Genomic DNA, 23,561 nt, shown 5'->3' with positions numbered 1-23,561 from the left:
GTCAACACCCAATCAGGAGCCGGCCTGACCCCGCCCCCTCTTCTCACGTTATTGGCTGAGAGGCCCCCAGATGGGCGGGGCCGGCCGTGGGGTTGGGGAGGGCAGGGGGCGGGGAGGAGGAGGAAGGCGCTGGCGGGCAGTGATGGCGGCTGGTGATGGGGACGTGAAGCTAGGCACCCTGGGGAGTGGCAGCGAGAGCAGCAACGACGGCGGCAGCGAGAGTCCAGGCGACGCGGGAGCGGCAGCGGAAGGGGGAGGCTGGGCGGCGGCGGCGTTGGCGCTTCTGACGGGGGGCGGGGAAATGCTGCTGAACGTGGCGCTGGTGGCTCTGGTGCTGCTGGGGGCCTACCGGCTGTGGGTGCGCTGGGGGCGGCGGGGTCTGGGGGCCGGGGCCGGGGCGGGCGAGGAGAGCCCCGCCACCTCTCTGCCTCGCATGAAGAAGCGGGACTTCAGCTTGGAGCAGCTGCGCCAGTACGACGGCTCCCGCAACCCGCGCATCCTGCTCGCGGTCAATGGGAAAGTCTTCGACGTGACCAAAGGCAGCAAGTTCTACGGCCCGGGTGAGGAGTTGGAAGGGGAGGGGAAGGACCCCCTGCAGCTGAAGCACAACCCCCTTCGGACAGGGAGGCCTCTGGGCACCGGGTTAGTTTGCCCAGCCTTCTCGTCTCCGGGACCCCCGCGCCTCGGCCGCCGCACCTGGGACGGCCCATCCCGCCCCTACACACACACCGTCCCCCCGCAGCTACGGGCACCTCCAGTTCTTCCCCCGAAACCAGGGTCCCCGGTGGCGCCCCAGAGACCAGCTCTCAGCATTCATCTTTCTTCCATCCCATTTCTCCTCGCAGCCTTTTTTTTTTGTTTCTTTGGCTGGATTTTTCAAAATCGTTTTAGTTGTCACAGGTCAACGCTGGCCCTTAACCTTTTTTGAGTCTCCTGATTCCTGGGATGGATGGGGCACCAGGGAAGGGAGATTTCTGAAGTTGGGACCTAAACTAAAGTTTTGGGCTCTGTAATTCACCGTTTTCTTTTCCTTGCCCCCTTTTTTTTTTTTTTTGCCACTGATCTCCTTTTTTCCCTCGCTGTATTACTCCGTAAGGCCACGTTTAGGGGCATGTAAAGTCCCAACCCTCCAGTCTCTGAAGTCCAGACGTATAAGCAACACCTCGGACTCTCTTTAAACCAGTTTTAGTTCGGAGTTGCTTTCCATGATTAACAAGGTATGTGGGATGAGAACAGACCAGAATGCAGAGCTTATTAAAGACTGGTAAGGATATTCACCTTGAGTTTTGGGGGTGGAGCTCCTATACCCAGCAGGCGTGTCTCTGGTTTCTTTTTTCTTTTTTTTTCTCTTTTCAAGTACACGTTGATAATGACTTGTGTTTTCACTTAGCAGAACTAAGGAGAAAAAACTTAGAAGAGTTGTAGATTTATACCCCCATGTGCCAGTTATGCAAGTTAAAGATTTTTAGAACTTTGTTTTGAGAGAACTTTGTTTTCAGGGAACTTTGTGTAGGGTAGTTGATTTAGACGCCCTTTTTTTACAGTGTGGTTGTAGCATACATTTTGGATTATGTTAATAAACCCCAGACTCATGGAACCTGTTGGTATATCATACAGTTGAGCAACATTGTGCATCCTGGTTGTGCACTGATTAATACTAAGCTTTAAAAAAAAGTGGTGACTACAATAAGAATAAATAATTAAATTAGAGACCTAAAGTGACCTGTTATTGGAGAGAGTACCTCCAAGCCTTAAAGTCATAGGGTTGGCAGTCTGGAAGTAAGCTGGTTTTCTCCTTAATTTAATCTGTAGGTGTATAAGATTTATTGACACTTAAAAATATATACTTCTGATTTCAGTGCTTGATAGCTGGAAGATATTTTAGAAGTGCTTTGGTTTGTAGTTTGTTCATTGGAATAGGGATAAGAAATAGGAGATTTTTGGTGTTGAATTATGTAATTTATTTCTTAGTTGTTTGTACTTCTGTGTATATATACACATTTAATCCAACCAAGTAAATACATAGCTTACAGAGTTTTTGCTTCTGGTTACATAAATGTGAACACAAGGTGTCTGCCTACTTATATCAACTGAAATGGTTAATACATTTTTGTTTACTTAAGCACACGTGGGACAAGAGAACAGGGCCAAAGTACAGTATTTAAACAGGCCAAGCGAAGTAAATTTTTTTTAAATCAAGGATTTAGACAGCATTTTATACCTAGTTCAAGCTTTTCCCCCATTGGTATTAAAATGTGTTAAGTGATTAGAAATCCTGTACAGGTTTAAATTTTTAATATAGACCTTACCCAGCTAAAAGATCAGCTTTTGTACCCTGTCTGAACTGCCACTGAAGAAAACAAAGTATTAGTACAAAGAATCGTATTAGTCCTCACACATTATGCCTTGGCAGTATCTGAAAATAGCTAAGAGAGACAGTCATAGAAACAGTTTGGCAGCCTCCAGTGGCAAACGTTTGTTCTGTGATAGAAATTAAAAATTAAAGCCAGGCGTGGTGGTTCATGCCTGTAATCCCAGTGCTTTGGGAGGCCGAGGCGGGTGGATCACCAGAGGTCAGGAGTTCGAAACCAGCCTGGCCAATATAACAAAACCTCGTCTCTACTAAAAATACAAGAAAATCAGCTAGACGTGGTGGCGGGTGCCTGTAATCCCAGCTACTCGGGAGGCGGAGGCAGGGAGAGTTGCTGGAACCCGGGAGGTGGGGGTTGCAGTGAGCCGAGATTGCGCCATTGCACTCCAGCCTGGGCGACAGAGAGAGACTCGGTATAAAAAAAAATTAAAAATTAAGAGTCATAGGTGGTAGATTGCTTTTTTATGGTATGTGCACTGAGGGAGGCTCTTGAGATTACAATGGAGAAGTCAGTTTTAGATTAGTTTCTGCCAGTTCCTAGGTTCTGTTGAACAGCCTAAGAGTGATATACAGTTAGTATTCTACAGTTGATCAACAACATAACAGATATTTGAATATTTTATTATTGAAAGGAACCTTAAAGAAAGCCAGATCATTTTATGGGCTTAGAATATGTTGATATTGCATATTAATAGAAAATGTAATAAGTAGTACTTTTCAAAAAATCTTAAAGCCAAATTTCTGGCTATAAAACAGATACAAGTTCAGTTTTGCTTTTAATTTTTATTTTCATCCTCATAAATTAAGCAGTTTTGTAGCAGAATAATTCAGAAGCAGTAATTGTTAGTTTCTATGCCTAGCCAATATCTACCCTAATTTCACAATAATGGTTTTAGGATTAAATTTTGTGAGATTTTTCCATAATGCTAAACATGTGTTTATTTTTAGTCATACATTTTTAAAGTTCAGGCTCTTAATTAAATATTGACAGTGTAATTTGGTGGAGTATACACATTTTGGCAAACAGTTGGCATTAACTGTATTTGCCAATATTAAATTTAGTAACAGATCAGGCACTTGGCCAGCAGGTGAGGAAAGTTTGGTCATGTAAAAAACTGAATACAGGAGGAGAAAGAAAACCAGATTCGTTAAGCACCCACAATATCAGATCCATTAATTTTTTTATCTCCATAATTCCTCAGTGAAGTTGGTAAGTATTCCTGCTCTACAGGTGGGGAGTCTGAGGTCTAGGTATTTTAGGTAAATTGGCTTGGATTACATGTATGTCTAATAAATCCAGATGGATATTACCACACAGCTTATCTATACTATTTCTAGTAAACTGCATCCTGTGATAAACTTGTAGAGAATCTTACTGTTGTTTTTCTTTATACTCTTCCCTGGTTCCCATAAATCCAAGGATTTAAAGCCTCAAAAAAAACATGCCTTTCGGCCAGGCACGGTGGCTCACGCGTGTAATCCCAGCACTTTGGGAGGCTGAGGCAAGCGGATCACTTGAGGTCAGGAGTTTGAGACCAGACTGTCCAACATGGTGAAACCCCATCTCTACTAAAAAAAAAAAAATAAAAATAAAAAAATAAAGGCCAGGCACGGTGGCTCATGCCTTAATCCCAGCACTTTGAGAGACCAAGGCGGGCAGATCACCTGAGGTCAGGAGTTCGGGACCAGCCTGGCCAACATGGCCAAACCCTGTTTCTACAAAAATACAAAAAAAAATTAGCTGAGCTTGATGGTGGGTGCCTGTAATCCCAGCTACTGGGGAGGCTGAGGCAAGAGAATCACTTGAACCTAGGAGGTGGAGGTTGCAGTGAGCTGAGATCTCGCCATTGCACTCCAGCCTGGATGACAGAACGAGACTCTGTCTCAAAAAAAAAAAAAAAATGCTTTTATGGCTTTATGTTATACTGCCCAAAATGGTGGCCCCAGGTGGCTAATTAAAAGTAAATTAATTAAAATTAGATATAATTAAAAATTGAGTTCCTTAGTAACACTAGCCACATATAAAGTGCTGAGCCCACCATGGCTACCATTTTGGACAGTGCACTTTGTATATTTTCATATTGTGAGACTGGCGTGCCACCTACTGCACTAACAAGGCACCTCTTAGAGTATTTCTGTCTTCCCAGAGAGTTGTTGAAAACAACACTGATTCTAAAGGTCAGAGGAGGAGAAGGAGGAAACTCCATTTATTGAGCTTAGTATCGCTAATTTTCAAACAGCCCTATGAGATTGCCCAAAGCCACATATCTAGTAGGTGGCAACACTAAAAATTAAATCCAGATTTTCATAGCTTCAATCCTTCCCATTGTATTACAACATAGTCTATTCAGTTTCACATGTTTACAGAATCATAAGTTTTGAAGACTCAAACAGCTAGTATAATTTTTAACAATTTTATTTAATATTACTGCAATGGAACTTTACCAAAACAGTGCTTTTATTTTTTTGGAATGGCAAAAAATTATACACTTGACTTTTTGATAGTTTATTTTGCGTTGTTGAACCTTGCAATACTGCTGCTCCCTTATTCCAGGTGGAGTATTCTTTGACATATACCAAAGCTATATTTTTTCCAACTTACCTTTTAAATTCCACTGAAAGAAAAAAGTCACGTAAGAAGAACCCCATGAGATGCCTAATATTTAGGAGGTTGGGGAAAAGAACACATGTACCTTGAAGTGTTTTTCCTCCATTTTAAACTTTATCTTCAATTTGTTCACTTTTATTTAACACTTTAGTTTGCAGAATTGGAAACTCTGTGTTTGCAGAGTTGCATCATAAAAACTGGACCCAATCTTACCTATTTCTTCATGGATGTCCTAAAGTTGCCACTGCCCACCTCTCATCCCAGCTTCTTGCTTTGAAGCCAACTGGCTTTGTTGTTTGGGCTAATGCCCATATGCATCTATTACCTACCAGTAAGATAAAAGGATTAGCTAGGTTTTCTGATGATTTTTTATATTCTGCTCAAATTTCTACTAGTTATTTCTATTATAACTACTTAGTTGGCTCTGAATTCAACATCATCCCGTTGTTTTTAATCTTTGAGGGAATCGTATTTGTGTTAAATCCTAAAGCATATTATAAAAGGATAGCTTGAAACCAGAAGCTGTTATTCAGGGTGGAAGAAAGGAGTAGATTTAATAACATCTGGAATTAGCCATTCAAGTTCTTTTAATTGTTTTTTCAACACTCTGACATAGACCACTCCTTTCCCTGTGCACCCAAGACAGACATGACTGTATAACTCCTGTATTCTTTTGGAGCCTATATCCAGTCTCAGGATCTTTAATAATAGGATTTCAGCTCCATTTTTAAATACTGAGGAAGACTTCCCTGGATTTCATTACAGTAAAAGCTTAAGAGATGAGAAATGGAGTTAACTGAGTCTTCAAAACAGATGTGTTCCTATCCTCATGGAGTTAATAGTCTATTAAGGAAGAGAGGCAGTAAACAAGGATTTCAGTATGTAATTATAATCTGTAATATGCTATAAAAGAAATTAATAGAATGGGAATAGAGGGTAACAAAGGACTTTATTTAGATTAAGTGGCTAAGCAAGGTTACCTTTTTTATGTTAGATTCTCGAGAAAAAGGGCTCGACATTTAAGCAAAAACCTAACAGAGCCAGCCATACAAAGATTGGGTATGAGAATGTTCTGAAGTGAGATTGTTACTATGCTTTCTATACCGAGCAAAGCCATCTAGCAGTAGATCTAGAACTGATCATACTAGAAACCTCTTTAACACTGTTGATTTTCAGATTTTACTTCAGCCTTTATCTGATTAGTATTAACACAATATTTCATTTTCCATCCCTTTTAGTCAATCTGTGTTGTTTTATTTTTCTCACATTAATGACATATAGCTGGATTTTTTCATTTAATATTAGCACTATGTCCTTTAATAGCTTAATTAGTGTATATGTTTTGTGATTACGGGTATATTTAGGTTTATTTCTATCATCTTATTTTGTGATTTCTCTTCACCTTACTTTTCTTTGCCTCTTTTCCCACTATTTTTCCTTCTCTGATTGATTTTTTTATTTCTTCCATTTTCTCTCCTCTACTGATTTGGATGTATTCTATTTCTATCCTTTTAGTGATTTCCTTAAGTTTTTGCTATAGATGACTATCCTATGCTTCTGAACAATATAAGAATTTTAGCCAAACATCATTTTAGTGTCAATTTGAAAAAGCTGCCTCTTTAAGATACTTTACTGACATTTGACAGATTATTTCTTAATAAATAAGCAAAACTGCCATGACTACAAATATGGATAGTATCCCCTGCGTTGTACATAGTCATATGTTGAGGCCCTGGTTAGAAAGCTTTAACTCTGATTCCTCCCCCATCCTGTTTTCCACAGTATCACTATTAGACTTTAGCTTCACTTTGTTTTTTCAAACTCCACCCCAAAATTGATGAAATTATTATCTTTTTAATATAGTCCTTGTTTAAATTTACTAACATGGTTATCATTTTTTTAATTCACTGTTGTTTCTTGCATCTCATTTCTTTGGGGTTCACTTTTTATTTTAGTGAGGTGTGTCCTATAGTTTTTCACTGGCAGGAAAAAATTTTTTATTTTTCCTCACTCAGGAATAATAGTTTGGGTTTAGAATATAAAATTGTAGATTGGGCCAGGCGCAGTGGCTCATGCCTATAATCCTACCATTTTTGGGAGACCAAGGTGGGAGGACTGCTTGAGCCCAGCAGTTCAAGACTAGCCTGGGCAATATGGCGAGACTCTGTCTCTTACAAAAATATAAAAAATTAGCTAGGCATAGTGACATGCACCTGTGGCCCCAGCTACTCAAGAGTCTGAGGTATTAAGATCGCTTGAGCCCAGAAGATCAATGAGCCTTGATAACACCACTGCACTCAACCTGGGTGACAGAGCAAGACCCTGTCTCAAAAAAAAATGTAAATTGACCTTATTATACCTCAACTCTTGAGTAGCGTTATGCCACTGTCTTCCACTTGTTGGTGAGGAGTCGGCTTGTAGTTTCTCTTTACTTTTATTAATCTTTTTCTTCCTTTTGGTTGTAGTTGAGATCTTTTTGTCTTTGGGGTTTTGCTATTTTACTAGGATTTGTCCAGGTATGGATTTGATTTTATTTACCATGTACCAAACTCTACTCAAGTCTGTGGATATATTGTCCTTTTTTTTTTTTTTTTTTTTTTCCCAGAAAATTTGCTGTTACTTATTGCCTCTTCCATTATCTCTGTTCCTTCCTCTGGAACTGTTAATAGATATACATTAGGTTTTCATTCTATTCTTAATGTCTCTTAATCTTTCCTTTTGTACCATTTCTTAATAATTTTAAGCAAATTTACTTTAGTTCTTTAATCTGCTTCTGTATCTGTTATATGTGCCCACTCCTCCATGATGGTTTGTTTCTTCATGTAGTTTATATTTTTTATTGTGAACTTATTATCTTCAGTAGTTACTTTTTTTAATTTTGGAGTATTTCCTGTAAAATTCCATGAGCCCTAAGTTGTGAAAGAGGTAAAGTGCTTTGGGTATGTTGCAAAATAGGGCCTCACGTAAGTTAAAACAATGATTTTTTAAATTAAGTAATACATGCTCAAAATAGAAAATTCAAAAGGATATACAGTGAAAAATAAGTCTACTTCCCACAACTAGTCCCAGCCACCATGTTCCCTTCCATAGCAGCAAAGCACCAGTCTACGTATTGTTCTAGAGCTATTTTGGGTGCAAGTACAAGCATGTGGATATCTTCCTTTCCCCCCACACTAATTATAGTATACTATGCATACCCTTCACAATATTTTAATATCACAAGAGCCTTTGACATCAGTATAGAGAGCCATCTTATTCTTTTGAATACATGCATAATATTCTATTTTATGAATAAGTCATAATTTAACAGTCCACTGTTAACATTTGTTTTCAGTCTCCTGTTATTGCATGATGCTGCAATAAATATGTACATGTCATTTTACACATGTGTGTAAAATTATGATTATAAAGTAAATTCCTGGAAATAAAATTACCGAGGCTTGGGGTATGGATATTTTTAATTTGGATTCTTGTTTCTAAACTGCCCTTCAGAGAGGTTGGACCAATTTACACTTGATGAAAATGCCTGTTTCTCACTTCTTGCCAAAAACGTGGTATTAAGCTTCTTGGTCTTTGTCACTCTTGAGAGGTTAAAATGGTATCTCAATATTTGTTTAAATTTACATTTCTCATTTACTTAATGAGGTTGGACTTCTTTTTAAAAAGTTGAGTCATTTATGATGCCTTTTCTACAAATTGTTTATTCATATATCCTTTGCCACAGTTTTTCTCTTTTTTTTTTTTTGAGACAGAGTTTCACTCTTGTTGCCCAGGCTGGAGTGCAATGATGCAATCTCGGCTCACTGCAACCTCTGCCTGCTGGGTTCAAGCGATTCTCCTGCCTCAGCCTCCCGAGTAGCTGGGATTGCAGGCATGCGCCACGACACCCAGCTAATTTTGTATTTTTAGTAGAGACGGGGTTTCTCCATGTTGGTCAGTCTGGTCTCGAACTCCTGACCTCGGGCAATCCGCCCACCTCAGCCTCCCAAAGTGCTGAGATTACAGGCATGAGCCACTGCGCCCAGCCCTGCTGCAGTTTTTCAATCATCATATTGATCGTACAGATTTTAGGTGTTCTTTATAAAGTAAATCAGCCTTTGCCGCAAATATTTTTTCTAGTTTGTCCTTTTACTTATTTATGGTGTTTTTTTGAACCACACAAAGTTTTGGTTTTATGTATTCAAATTTATCTTTTCTTTTATAGCTGCTAAGTTATGTATTATATTTAAAGACTTTATGCACTTAAAATTGTTTTTAAAAATCTGTAGTTTTTTTAGTACTTCTGTGGTCTCAGTTTTTTAGTTCCATTTGAAATTGATTTTGCTTTAAGATGTGAAATTAGAGTCCAAATTTGGTGGGGTGGTGGGTGTTTGTTTGTTTTTGAGAAGGAATCTTGCTCTGTCACCCAGGCTAGAGTGCAGTGGCGCCATCTCGGCTCACTGCAACCTGCGTATCCCGGGTTCAAGCGATTCTCCTGCCTCAGCCTCTTGAGTAACCGGGATTACAGGCGCCCACCACCGTGCCCGGCTAATTTTTATATTTTTAGTATAAGAGACAGGGTTTCACCATCTTGGCCAGGTTGGTCTCAAACTCCTGACCTCGTGATCTACCCGCCTTGGCCTCCCAAGGGGTTGTGTTTTTTAACAGAAGGTTATCTAGTTGTCCCAACATGTTTCCCCAACAGGGGAATAATCCCTTTTTCCTAATACTTGAAGTATTATCTTTAGTGTTCATTAATTCTTATAGATATTTGAGTTCATACTATTTTTTCACCTTGGAATTTTCATTCTGCATGGGTTGCATAAACTCAGGCCCCACTCCCATAAGTGGCACGGGCCTGGGCTTTTAATTTTTCTGTCTTTTCTTTACCCCAGCCTACCCATGCACCCTGGAGTTAAGGCCATATGCTCAGTTCACAATGTTGCTGAGCGCTTTTGACAGTAGCTCAAATTTCAGAAGCAAGATTGCACTTTCAGTCACTTATAGAATCATACTATTCAAGAGATTATTTAGTTTGGTCTCAACTTCAGGCAGGTAAAATAATTTTCCTAATTTATATTTGAGGGATCTAAGGACTATGGAAATCGAGACTTGTTGATTGTGAGTGGATCCTCTAGAACCCAAGTATCTGTCTTCTTGAGAGGTATTATTTCAGTTTTACCATACTGCATTCTCTCTAAAAGTCTTGGGACTTACTGGACCTAAGCATAAAAAAATTTATTAGTTCAGTTAATCACTTTTACATATTGCCTCATTTGTTGATAGGCTGATTATAATCTTATTTGAAATAAATTACCCAATACTAAGTGTTATTAGTTACTCAATTTATAATCACAAAAGATTATTGTCAAAACAGGCCTGAAAACTGCACTGTTGATAAACTTTAATTAATTAAAGTTCATCTCTGAGAGATATGGTTTTTAAACTGTGAGAATAATTAAAATATCCCTTTAGAAACACTAAGGTAGCTATATAATCATCCTAATAATCACAAAATTATCTGTTACTACATATTTACTTCCTCCTGGAATTTTCTGTTTATTAAATTAATATTTAAAACATTTTACAATGAGCATATGTTGTTGCTGTTTCAAGAATATGTCACCTCATTCTAACTGATTGTATTAAAGTAAGCAGTTTTAGGATACGGTAACAAATAGGTTTATTGAACTTTAAAATATCTTGACCACAAGTTGGATTGACACTGAAAACTAAATGAAATCTGAATTCTGACTAGTATAGTACTTCATGTTGGGTTTGTTTTGTTTGTTTGTTTGTTTGTTTGTTTGTTTGTTTTGAGATGGAGTCTCGCTCTGTCGCCTAGGCTGGTGTGCAGTGGCGAGATCTCAGCTCACTGCAAGCTCTGCCTCCCAGGTTCACGCCATTCTCCTGCCTCAGCCTCCCAAGTAGCTGGGACTACAGGTGCCCACTACCATGCCCGACTAATTTTTTGTATTTTTTAGTAGATACTGGGTTTCACCACGTTGGCCAGGATGGTCACGATCTCCTGACCTCGTGATCCGCCTGCCTCTTGTTGGTATATTTAACAATAGCTTTGAAATAAAATTTATCTTTAAAATGATGTCCTTGAATATTTGTTATGTAAGTATATTTCAGAGTATTTGCTTTGACTGAATAATGCTGTTCATTTTTTGTAGCACGAATTTGCTTAAAATTGGGAGGCTGTTTTTGGATCAGCATTATATTTTAATATTTGATAAAGCAACAGAATTTAATTCTTCTAGTTACTACTGAACTGTTAGTGTCTAAATGAGCCTTAATAATAAAAAATAACCAGATCATGTAAACTAGCCTTTTTAAAAATAAATTAGGCTGGGCACAGTGGCTCATGCCTGTAATCCCAGCACTGTGGGAGGTTGAGGTAGGCGGATCACCTGAGGTCAGGAGTTCAAGACCAGCCTGTCCACCATATATGGTGAAACCCCCTCTCTACCAAAAATATAAAAATTAGCTGGGCGTGGTGCCACACCCAATAATCCCAGCTACTTGGGAGGCTGAGTGAGGCAGGAGAATCACTTAAACCTAGGAGGCAGAGGTTGCAGTGAGTTGAGATCACACCACAGAGTGTGACTCTGTCTCAAAAAAAAATACTAATACAAATAAATAAATTATACCATGCAACAGACTTAAACCATTTCAAATTGGCTTTATTTGGGGAGCTCCCTATTGTTTTAGTATTATGAATAGCCAAGTATACTTACCAAATATTAGAATTGGTAAATATTTAGGTTTTTTATGTAAGGGGATAACGGAATGGGAAGGTATTGCTGACTTTTCAGATAAGCTCCTGGTTGTATTATGAATGCAGGGAAATCTCCTTTTATTAGACATCAAATCCTTCCTCAGAATAACCCATCCAGTTCCAACTTTAGTTCCTAATGTTATATTCTTTAATGGCCTTACAGAAGGCTGGGCATGGTGGCTTAGGCCTGTAATTCTAACACTTTGGGAGGCAAAGGCAGGAGGATTGCTTGAGGCCAGGAGTTCAAGATCAGCTGGGCAACATAGGGAGACCTTGTCTCTACAAAAAATAAAAGAAATTATGCAGGCCTGGTGGGCCATGCTTCTAGTCCCAGCTATTTGGGAGGTTAGGGCAGGAGGATTACTTGAGCCCAGGAAGTAGAGGCCACAGTGAAATATGATTGAGCCGCTGTACTCCAGCCTGGGTGACAGAGTAAGACCCTGTCTCAAAAAACAACAAAAAAAATTTTTTTAATGGTCTTACAGGAAAGAGCATAGAAAATTATTACTAAAAAGACCTTTGCAGAAGTTAAATGCTTCCTGAGGGAAATTCTAAACATATGGAGAAGACAGCTTAATATAGTTTAGGGAGTGGGGGAATATGTTAATCACTGAATTATTCTTTTCTATTCAAGAGTCAACAGAACATCATTTGTCTGGAATTTGGCTTGGATTATTAACTGTTGACTCAAGTTCACTCTTACCAAGTCAATCATTCCCTACCCCCAGTACCCCAGAAAGAGCATATTTTATGAAATTTTTTATTATTATTATTCATTCAGTGTTGAAGCTTTCTTAGGGAAGTTGGTAGAGAAATTAATAGAGAATGCACTGGTATATATTAATATACTCAAAGATGGAGGGCTTTCTGATTGCTGTTTTTATAATGATTTTATCTTCTCTCCTTTGTATCATTTAAATGTGTTTTATGGCTTATACTCTGAAGTGCCTGAAGTAGATTAATGTTTGCAGGCCATGGAGATAAATACTATAATAGAATGCTTAGAAAAGCTATTAAGTAGAGCTTTTTTGTTAATTCTCTTCCATTTTGATTTAATAAGTATTCTAAAATTTTCATTCCCTTGAAATTTTGTAAGTAGTAAAATGCTCCAGTTTTCATGGTCGTTACTCCATCTTTGGGCTTGTGAGTCTTCTATGTGTTTTCTTGAGGTACACTGGAGGATTTAGGAAAGTGGAAATAGTACTCTCAGTTCTGTCAGTAATTTTAGGCAAATCACACTGAATGCCTCCGCTCCTGTTTTTTATCTGCCAAATGGGGAAGGCAGTCTGTCCCTTCCACTTTGGGAAACTCTGAGAGAGAAAAGTGAGGTTGCTGGAAAATTCTTTTAAAAATTGAACCTATAATTTTCCATTTGTAGATTGTTATGGCCTTTATTAGTTTTATTTTTCCTTTTGTATGTTTCACTTTTTGCTTTTTTAAGTTTATAAGCATTGGTCTAGTCAGCATTAAGGGTAAATATAATGTTTATAGATTTTTTTTATCATTGTTTCTTAGAAATTTTTATTTTTAAACACACTAGTTCTCTGTCTCTGTCTCTCTCCTTGTCCTCCTGAAAACACCCATTGCCACAAAGTGTGTAGAATTTTGCACGCACATGTGCATGTACACACACAGACATAACTGGTTAATACCTTTTTTTTTTTTTTTTTTTTTTCTTTGGAGAAGGAGTCTTGCTTTCTCGGCCAGGCCGTAGTGCAGTGGCATGATCTCAACTCACTGCAACCTCCGTCTCCTGGATTCAAGCAATTCTCCTGCCTCAGACTCCTGAGTAGCTGGGATTACAGGCGTGCGCCACCACAGCCGGCTAATTTTTGTAGTTTTAGTAGAGATGAGGTTTCACCATGTTGGCCAGGCTGGTCTCAAACTGCTGACCTCAACACTGCTGCCACAGAGTTGGGATTACAGGCATGAGCCACCGCACCTGGCCTGGTTAATACCCTTTTGAATGTCAGTTGAGATGATAGAAAAAGTTTGAAGGTTACGAATATTGGCCAGTGGTAAATTGTGTTCCATATTCTTATATAGAAGACACATTTGAAAGTATAAAATGGTAGCCTATGTTAATAAGACTGATTAAATAAATTACAGGTACACATCCATTCAGTGGGATAATATATAACCATTCAATGATAAATAATTGTTGATAGTCATGTGATACGATGTAGCAATATGGAAAATGCAATAAGAATAAGAAAAGCAGAATACAAATGTACTTTACTGGAACTGTTAGCTTTACTTTCATGTTACTGTATCAATACCTATGAATGCTACTCTTAAAATTATTGCTAATGCTACTTCTAGTTCCATGCAGTAAACTTTTCAGAGAATGAATTTCACATCTGGTTAACTTTATAGTACAGTGCTGTTAGCAACTCAAATTAATACTCATAAATGCTTAGATATCTATTTAAGTGAAACCTCGATTTCTACTCTCAGAAGGTACAGAGACTTTTTGACACATAACTTTCAGTTTCCTAAATACTTTTATATATGAATATAATCATTTCGCTCATTTAAAAATCAAGGAATTTCTAGTTTTTTCTGCTTGTTTACTTATCAGAACATACTTTGTTCTTTTATTTATAAGCCCTGTTTTTCACCACTCTGTTGTTGTTGTTCATAATAGTGTCTTTGCCTACCATAAGTGAATCTGTTTACAGAATCTTGAGTTTCTTTTTATTCGGAACTACAGCTAAGTCATTTGGAAGAAAATTATTACGTTCCTACTTTATGCCAGGCACAGTGCTAGGCATTGAGGATACAAATCCTCAATTGATGAACAAATTGCTGTTCTCAAGGACAAACCTTGGGAATGGTTTTTGTCAACACATCAGTCATGCCATTTCTCCTCAGAGAGAATGGTACCCAATTCCTTGGATAAAATGCTAATTATTGCTTAATGTGTCAGTCCAGAAGAATTATTCCTTATAGCTACTTCCTCTGTTTTCCAAAAGTCATGACAAGTAAGAGCTATTATTTTCCTTAATGACTTTTCCTAGTTTATATAGATCATTGTATATATATTATGGTAGTCAGATGATTTATTTTGAATATGGGTCTTTTTTTATTAAACCACTCAGCAAAGATTTATTAAATGCGTGTTGAGCACTGAACTAGTCACTGGGACCACAAAGATGATACAGTCTCTTTTCTCATAGAATTACAACCTTCATAAGGATAGCAGAAAGAAAAATGTTACAGATTCAAGTTCAGCTGAGTCTTTACATAATACATGATGTTCTGTTGATTATTTTTATTTTTTTGATGCCACTATTAACAGCAACCAGTAAACATTATTTCCCCTCAAGCAGACTGGCTTCTAAACCTAACCACTTAAGTTTCTTCTTCTCCCTCATTACCTCACAGTCTTCATTTTGAATATTAAGTTTGGGGATATCTGAAGTAATTGAAATTGAGGGTTTTAAGATCTAAGTGAAAAGCTTTACTTGGGTCAAAAGGCAGATTTCCAACAAATTTCTTTTCTTATTCCATCTAGTATCTGTACATGTTTTGAAATTAAGGGTATATACAAATGTGAATTATGAGGGGTTTTTTTCTTTGTTGTGTTTTTTTTTTTTTTTTTTTACTTTTTCCTTTGAGACATTCTAAAATATTGTTAGGTGATCTAAATAATTTATTTTCTTTTTTCCAGCGGGTCCATATGGAATATTTGCTGGTAGGGATGCCTCCAGAGGACTGGCCACATTTTGCCTAGATAAAGATGCACTTAGAGATGAATATGATGATCTCTCAGATTTGAATGCAGTACAAATGGAGAGTGTTCGAGAATGGGAAATGCAGTTTAAAGGTATTTTTATTTTGTTGGATTCTTTGGAAAATTAAATATTTGTTCAAAGAAAATATATACTATTTTACATGCTTTAAGAGCCTAAGGATGTCATCCGTTTTCATTGCCATCATTATTTGATAATATTTTTAAAGATAGCTAAAGCTGGGTGAAGTGGCACATGCCTGTGGTCCTAGCTGCTGATGGGAATCCCTTGAGCTCAGGAGTTCAAGGACTAACCTGGGCAACATAGTGAGACTTGTCCAAAAAAAGAAATTGCAAAAAATAGCTAAATAAAAATATGATTGTTACATGTGATAATTATTTTGAAAATCAATATTTAAAAAAATGACTTGTTACAAATTCTAAGCCTCAAAAATTGTGATACTTACAGTCAGCTTCTTCATTAAGGTTTAGTTTTTTAAAAATACAGGCTTATATTTAAAACTGAGTTGATTACTGATTTCAATACTATAATTTATTCCAAAATGATTTTACAGATCTTAACACTCGAAATGTAGATAAAAAATATCTTTCCCCTTTCTTATGCCCTCATAACATCAGTTTTTACCACTTGTGTGATGCTGTCCCAGCTGTTTATCTGACCCCTGGGTCCCTTGGAACAGCTGTTCTGGTTTAGCTGGGTACTGAGATGGGTCCTGGACTTACTCATTTTTAAAAAAGATCTCCAAGTGATTCTGATGCAGTATCCAACTAAGAATCACTGGTACAGAACACCCTCTTGCAAAGAATTCCCAAGCCTTATAAGTTCCCTAATCCTGTTTTCTTTTGTTCAGGCTTTACATGTGTATAAAGACCAGCCATGGTGAAGCAATTTTAGAATATTTAGATAATATTCTAATAATCATATTTTATATGATTCTAAAACAGACAAATGCCTTTTCTCTGTATAATGGAATAGTGAAACAAATTTGATCACCACTGATTTTCTTTTGATGTATCTTTCAGAAAAATATGATTATGTAGGCAGACTCCTAAAACCAGGAGAAGAACCATCAGAATATACAGATGAAGAAGATACCAAGGATCACAATAAACAGGATTGAACTTTGTAAACAACCAAAGTCAGGGGCCTTCAGAACTGCAATTCTTACTCCCTTTCACAGACTGTCCGGAGTCTTTGGGTTTGATTCACCTGCTGCGAAAAACATTCAACAAATTGTGTACAAGATAAATTAATCTCACTATGAAGATTTGAATAACTAGACATTATTTATGCTGCCAAACTCATTTGTTGCAGTTGTTTGTAATGTCTAGTGGGGCTTCATCATCCTGAAAAGAAGGAGACAGGGATTTTTTTAAAGAGCAAGAAAGTCACAATATTACTTCTTTCCTTCCTTTTTTCCTTCTTTCCTTTCTTCTTTCTCTTTCTTTCTTTTTAAAATATATTGAAGACAACCAGATATGTATTTGCTACTCAAGTGTACAGATCTCCTCAAGAAACATCAAGGGACTCCTGTGTCACATACTGTGTTTTTATTTTAACATGGGTGAGGGAGGCGACCTGATCAGGGGAGGTGGGGGTACACATCAATTTGAGTTGTTCAGGCTACTGAAACATTAAAATGTGAATTCCCAAACTTTTCTTTTTGGCTTTGTCAGGGAAAAGAAAAATATCTTTATAAAGAAATCTTTGGAAATTAGGAGAAGGAATTTCAGGTGGGTTTAAGTCAGAGCTAGTTCCCCAACAGAAAGATCATTTGAAACCAGTTTTTATCCCTTCTCTTTCCTTCCCTTTCCCTAAATCAAATCAATATTAATTGTGCCTTATTTCACTTAACATAGACTTGAATTATTTTTAGGGAAAGCCCCTATAATGAATTCAGAAATCACTACAAGCAGCATTAAGACTGAAGTTGGAATATTCTGTTGACCATAAAACCTTGATATCATTCTGTGTATATAGAATGTAAAAGGAATATTACAGTGTTAACTGCCATATATGTAATATACACAAACTCAATTAGCATTGTAATGGCCAAATGCATTCCCCCATGCTTTTCTGTTTTCAAAAAAATTGAAAAACAAATCAACTCTTATCCCCAACAGCTGCCTAATTTTAGGAGTCTGACCCTCCACATCTCACTGGTGTGGGTGCATGGGGCTGTGGAGTGGGTGTCAGTATGGATGTGTCTGAATGTGTGAGGCCTTGGAAGGGACTCTTTCTGCAGATACTGTAAATACAAGTACCATTTTAATAAAGCATGTACAATAAACCAAAATAAGCTTGAGTTGGACTTTATATACAGAACTGTAAGCCAGTGCATTATGATACAGTTGTAAGATTGTGCATTTGATTCAAGATAAGGAAAAATCTTGGAAATGAAAAGCAGGCACTGGTTAACCAAGTTGTACACATTGTACCACATTCAGCATAACTTTAGGAAGAAATTCCACTTTGTGGAACATTCTCCAGAAATCCAAGATTATTCAGGTAAGAATTGGTATATTAAATGTACATCTTTTTACTTTCTATTTTGATGCCAACTGATTATACTAGACAATTAGCACTCCAGGTGGTTATTGAACACAAAACAGTAAAAGAATATTGCACTGATAGATACTAAATTATTATTTTATTAGGTTGAAAAAGCCCTTACTAAAAGCCCCTCATATATCAATTACTTTATTTCATTATGACTACTTAGGTTCCGGGCTGGGGACAAGTTCACTTAAAAAGGCAATGTTATTTAACAGGTCACCAGTTAAGACTTCTGCTTTGTAGATACATGCAGAAGCCATCAAACAAGGGGGAGCTTTTAACTGCAACAATAAGCTAAAGTATGTAAAATACTACATTCTATTCAGTCTTGGAGTGTTTTGTAGAAAGTTATCTTCAGCCAAATCTTTGCTGAAGACTGGTTGTGGAGTGTTGGTAAATGCTTTGTGTTTTTATGTAAAATATTTTCTAAACAAAAAATGTTAAAAGTACATGTCCTCTGTAGTAAACTGATATCTATATATATGAATCATTCAAGCCTAAAGTCTAGTAATAAACTGTACTTGTGAATAGAGAAACCCTAAATATTCATGCAGAAAAAATTATGCGGTCTGTTAAGAAAAATGAGTAATTTGTGTTTTGGACTTGAAATAAACAGTGTTCTGTAGATAATTCCTCAACTTCAGTTGAATGTTTCTCATTCTCAGGTAGTTTTTCAGGCAGTATTTGAATGAGGGGACCAGACAGTGCTGGTATTGTTCCTTTGTTCCTGTTCCCCGCTCCCCCCTCCACACAGACAGACACATGCACACACACACACACACACTCCTGCTTAGCCCTATTTTCGAAACTTGCCTGATAATTAGAATTGCTTAAGGTACAGATTCTTAGCCTTCAATCCAGACGTACCACCCGCTAAGCCAGAATCTTTAAGAGAATGGGCCTCAGAATTTATTTGTAAGGAATACCTCAGGTAATTCTGATCAGGAACACTTAGGAAACACTGGTTTTTCAAGTTAATATTGACCATCTTTGTTAGGCACTTGAAATGGCCTTACTCAGGTAATTTTGGTCTGATTCCCTTCATCTGGTTTTGTGTCATTCAGAAGACTTCACAAAATTCTAATGTATGATTTTAGAAAACAGCAAATTTTGATAGTCTTTAGATTTTTATCTTTGGGTAGCATTTCCAAGTTGTCATATTTCCCACATTAAATCTACACTGTGTGTACTAGCCAGTTTCTCTGCATTAGGAAATGAACCCATAACAGTTACAGATCAGGTTTTTAAAACCTTGACCATGGTGCTAAGGCTGCTTAGGTTTCCTAACAGTAATTCTACGTGCCTTTCTGTAGGTAGATCTGTTTCTGCAGGTAGATCTTCAGAATCCAACATTACACCTACCTTTACCCACATTCTTGAACCTAATTTGCTGAATTACCACTGGGAGATATTTTGTTCTATAGAAAACAGATATTTTCTACAGAATCAGGCTGTCCTTATCCAAGTATTTCACATAACCTCTATTGATAACAGAAGTGCAGCAAGTTGCTAGTAAGATGTGCCATTAACATGTTAACAGTGTGTAACTACAGAGCTTTTATGTGTCAGAATAAGCGGGTAATACTGTAGTAAAGAATTTATAAAACTTTCAAGTTGCTTTGAGTATATTGAAAATAAGAGTCATGGAATATTGTAACAGTGATACTGAATGAATTGTTCTAATTAAAGTAGCAAATGCTTAAAAGATAGCTTTTGAGTATGTTCCATTAAGGTCAGCCATCAATTTGTTAGATGATACTCATCACTGATTATTTTCTATTTGACTATGGCAAGAAAGCTCCAATAAAGACGACCCAACTTTCCTGTTTTTAGGCAAAAACCATCATTCCTAGGCACTGTTAGAAAAGCACGTACAGAAAAATTGCCATACTCCTGAGTCACTTTGAGTACCAGCTTTGCATTTGTTCTACCACCACTAGTGGCTGAGAGCACATTTGGGCTGCCTGTAATTACTCCATTCAAGAGAGCATTTGACATGCTATGAACACTGGCTTATTCCTAAAATTTTTCTTTTACAGTATCCACACAAGATCCAAGAAAACCACATCATGATGTTTAGTGTAAGAAGACCAATATTTGCATATGCTTTTAAATACTTTGAAAGCATGATTTTAGTGGCTGCATAGTATTGTTCCCAAATAATAAAGTTTTTAATGAAAATGCAGGAAGTTCTGTAGCAGGATGAGCTGCAGACAAGAACCCCTCAGACACCAAGTTGTGGAAGCAAAGGGCTTTATTCAGCTGGGAGCATCGGCGGACTCAAAAACCGAGCTCCCCAAGTGAGCAATTTCTGTCCCTTTTAAGGGCTTACAACTCTAAGGGGGTCTGTGTGAGAGGGTCGTGATCGACTGAGCAAGCAGTAAGAGTATGTGACTGGGGGCTGCATGCACTGGTAATCAGAATGGAACAGAAAAGGACTGGGATTTTCACAGTGCTTTTCCATACAATGTCTGGAATCTATAGATATAACATAACTGGTTAGATCAGGGGTTAATCTTTAACTACCAGACCTGGAATGCAGTGCCGGGCTGTCTTACTGATTTTGCTTCTTTCTTTTCTTTAACTCCTACTTTTTCTTTGAGGCAGAAATTGGTCATAAGACAATATGAGGGGTGGTCTCCTCCCTTATTCCCCCACATTGAGAACCTCACTCATTAGTGGGAGTTCTCACTTCCATCCTCACTACCCATGTCTTCTTGCAAGACAGGTCATGATTCATATAGCACATTTGTGCTGAAGCATTTTGGTGAACTAAGGTAGCAATGAAGCTTTTTATCATTTGAAGTACAGGTAGCAAACAAAGGAACAGTAAGCAGGTTCCTATTACTATTATAACTCCTATTATAAGAGTTTTAAATCTTCCTAGCACTGGGAACCATTTTCCAAACATGGCCCCAGGATTAAATCTATGCCACACTTGCACAGGCACATGTGCCAGTTTTGTCATTTCTAACTATGTCTTAAACTACTTGCCCTTGATCATCTATGTGTAGACAGCAATTAATAAGGTTAAATTTCCTACAGACCCCTCCTTCAGCTGCTAGCAAGTAGTTGAGAGCCCATCTATTTTGATAGATAGTATTTCTCATCTGAGTTTCTTGCTGGGCCAGAATAGTCAAGGCTCTGCCAGTTTTATTAGTGATTATTTCTAAGACAGTTTGTAACCATATGATTCAGTTGAGCATGCAAATTGGGGTCCGGTATCCCCACGAGCCATCTTGTGCCTAAGTAGCAGGCTCATACTACTGTATGATTCTTTCAGGGGGCCACTTATCATCTTTCCAGTCGCCTATATCTATGCTTCTATTTTCTCGGGAAGCATAGACTGGGAAGCCTAGAAGTTTGCCTGTTTTTATGGGCAGTAGGAAAAAGGACGGGTTATAGCACACATCAGGCTGGTCACTTCCTGGGCTACATACCTTGTATAGAACAGCATTATACAAACAAGTTCCTTTTAGAGTCCCTGTACACTTATGGTAACCATAAAATAATAGGACTGTAGCAACCTTTTGTCCTATGTTGTGGGAAGTCAGGGACCCCAAATGGAGGGACTGGCTGAAGCCATGGCAAAAGAACATAAATTGTGAAAATTTCACGGACATTTATTAGTTCCCCAAATTAATACTTTTATAATTTCTTACACCTGTCTTTACTGCAGTCTCTGAACATAAATTGTGAAGATTTCATGGACATTTATCACTTCCCCAATCAATACTCTTATAATTTCCTATGCCTGTCTTTAATCTCTTTATCCCGTCATCTTCATAGGCTGAGGATGTATGTCGCCTCAGGACACTGTGATGATTGCGTTAACTGTACAAATTGCTTGTAAAGCATGTGTGTTTGAACAATATGAAATCTGGGCACCTTGAAAAAAACAGGATAACAGCGATTTTCAGAGAACAAGGGAGATAACCATAAAGTCTGCCTGCCTGCAGGGCCAAGCAGAACAGAGTCATATTTCTCTTCTTTCAGAAAGCGAATAGGAGAAATATCACTGAATTCTTTTCTCAGCAAGGAATAACCCTGGGAAAACGAGTGCATTCCCAGGGGGAGGTCTCTAAAATGGCAACTCTGGGAGTGTCTGTCTTATGCAGTTGTAGATAAGGGATGAAATATGCCCTGGTCTCCTGCAGCGCCCCCAGGCTTGTTAGGATTGGGAAATTCCAGCAATTCCAGCCTGGTGAAATTCTAGTCAGACTGGTTGTCTGCTCTCAAACCCTGTTTCCTGTTAAGATGTTTATCAATGACAATGTGTGCCCAGCAGGACATGGACCTTCATCAGTAATTCTAGTTTCACCCTGGCCTTGTGATCTCACTCTGCCTCTCTGCCTTTGTGATATTTTATTGCCTTTGAAGCATGTGATCTCTGTCACCCACTCCCTATTCATACACCCCTCCCCTTTTGAAATCCATAATAAAAACTTGCTGGTTTTGTGGCTCAGGGGGCATCACAGAACCTGCCGATATGTGATGTCTCCCCCAGTGGCCCAGCTGTAAAATTTCTCTCTTGTGCTCTTTCTTTTTATTTCTCAGACCAGCCGACATTTAGGGAAAATAGGAAAGAACTACATTGAAATATTGGGGGCTAGTTCCCCTGATAGTCCCACCTTAGTGACTTGATGTATATACTGGGAATAGTCCTCAGTCTGAGGAAGGTCATTTGAAGTCCTTACTGTACAAGTCCAAATTTTAAGGGAAATGAGTCCTGCAATGACTTTCCTCATTCTTTGGCCATGCGGGGACCAGTTAGCTTCCGGGTGTGACTGGAGCAGGGCTTGTCGTCTTCTTCAGAGTCACTTTGCAGGGGTTGGCGAAGCTGCTTCCATCCACATAAAGCTCCCAGTCTACTAATGTTTAAGGATGGTCTCAGAGGTTGGGCCTGCTAGAATAAACTGAATCCAAAACCTCTACCCAGTTATGTTTAACTAGGCTCTCTGATACCAGGAGCAAGGTGGCGGGGTTTAGGGTGTTGTAAACTTCAACCGTTATGCGGGAATTTTCACAGAGCAAGCTTTGGTATTTAGTTAGTCTAGCATTCGTTAGCCAATGATGTCCTTTGGTATTTATTAAAGTCACCACAGTATGAGGGGCCTTTATGTTTAGGTTTTGCCCAAGAGTTAGCTTATCTGCTTCTTGTGCTAGCAGAGCTGTTGCTGCCAAGGCCCTCAAACACGGGAGCCAATCCTTAGAAACCCCATCTAGTTGTTCAGAGGGGTAGGCCACCAGCCTTGGCTAGGGCCCCACAGTCTGGGTCAAAACTCTAACTGCCTTTTTTTTTTCTCTCTGACACATACAGTGTAAAATGTTTTGTCAGGTCAGGTAGTCCCAGGGCTGGGGCCGACATGAATTTTTGTTTTAACTCATGAAAAGCTCGTTGCTGTTTGTTGTAATAGATATAGTTTATTCAATCTACATTTTTATTAACTGTCACCCACCAAAATATTGACTCAAATCCTGCAGCTATTTGATTTCAGGCTTTAAATT

The 23,561-nt window shown here is 38.2% G+C and overlaps 1 protein-coding gene across 1 annotated transcript, besides 6 other annotated features; it reads left to right on the top strand.

Moving 5' to 3' along the window:
• Positions 1-180: a silencer, noted in NCBI's record as "silent region_15683". NCBI's record gives its function as "represses an Ori minimal core promoter by ATAC-STARR-seq in GM12878 lymphoblastoid cells {active_cell/tissue: GM12878}" and the evidence as "EXISTENCE:reporter gene assay evidence [ECO:0000049][PMID:35858748]".
• Positions 120-18,691, top strand: PGRMC2 (progesterone receptor membrane component 2). Its single transcript, NM_006320.6, has 3 exons — positions 120-560; positions 15,416-15,571; positions 16,520-18,691. Exons 1-3 carry the CDS (start codon positions 143-145, stop codon positions 16,615-16,617), a joined length of 672 nt encoding a protein of 223 aa, NP_006311.3. The 5' UTR covers positions 120-142; the 3' UTR covers positions 16,618-18,691.
• Positions 191-240: a silencer, noted in NCBI's record as "silent region_15682". NCBI's record gives its function as "represses an Ori minimal core promoter by ATAC-STARR-seq in GM12878 lymphoblastoid cells {active_cell/tissue: GM12878}" and the evidence as "EXISTENCE:reporter gene assay evidence [ECO:0000049][PMID:35858748]".
• Positions 421-480: a silencer, noted in NCBI's record as "silent region_15681". NCBI's record gives its function as "represses an Ori minimal core promoter by ATAC-STARR-seq in GM12878 lymphoblastoid cells {active_cell/tissue: GM12878}" and the evidence as "EXISTENCE:reporter gene assay evidence [ECO:0000049][PMID:35858748]".
• Positions 7,145-7,439: a silencer, noted in NCBI's record as "tiled region #13521; HepG2 Repressive non-DNase unmatched - State 16:ElonW". NCBI's record gives its function as "represses a minimal TATA promoter and a strong SV40 promoter by Sharpr-MPRA in HepG2 cells {active_cell/tissue: HepG2}" and the evidence as "EXISTENCE:reporter gene assay evidence [ECO:0000049][PMID:27701403]".
• Positions 11,328-11,525: a silencer, noted in NCBI's record as "fragment chr4:129197563-129197760 (GRCh37/hg19 assembly coordinates)". NCBI's record gives its function as "represses an EF-1alpha promoter that drives an FKBP-Casp9 reporter gene in an ReSE screen in phorbol 12-myristate 13-acetate-treated (for megakaryocytic differentiation) K562 erythroleukemia cells {active_cell/tissue: K562(+PMA)}" and the evidence as "EXISTENCE:reporter gene assay evidence [ECO:0000049][PMID:32094911]".
• Positions 21,999-22,500: an enhancer, noted in NCBI's record as "NANOG hESC enhancer chr4:129186588-129187089 (GRCh37/hg19 assembly coordinates)". NCBI's record gives its function as "activates a minimal SCP1, AML or CMV promoter by ChIP-STARR-seq in naive H9 embryonic stem cells {active_cell/tissue: H9 hESC(naive)}" and the evidence as "EXISTENCE:reporter gene assay evidence [ECO:0000049][PMID:30033119]".

Source organism: Homo sapiens, chromosome 4 (assembly GCF_000001405.40).
Source record: "Homo sapiens chromosome 4, GRCh38.p14 Primary Assembly".
NCBI lineage: Eukaryota > Metazoa > Chordata > Mammalia > Primates > Hominidae > Homo > Homo sapiens.
The sequence above is the reverse complement of the archived record's forward strand: the minus strand, read 5'-3'. Positions and strand labels throughout refer to the sequence as shown.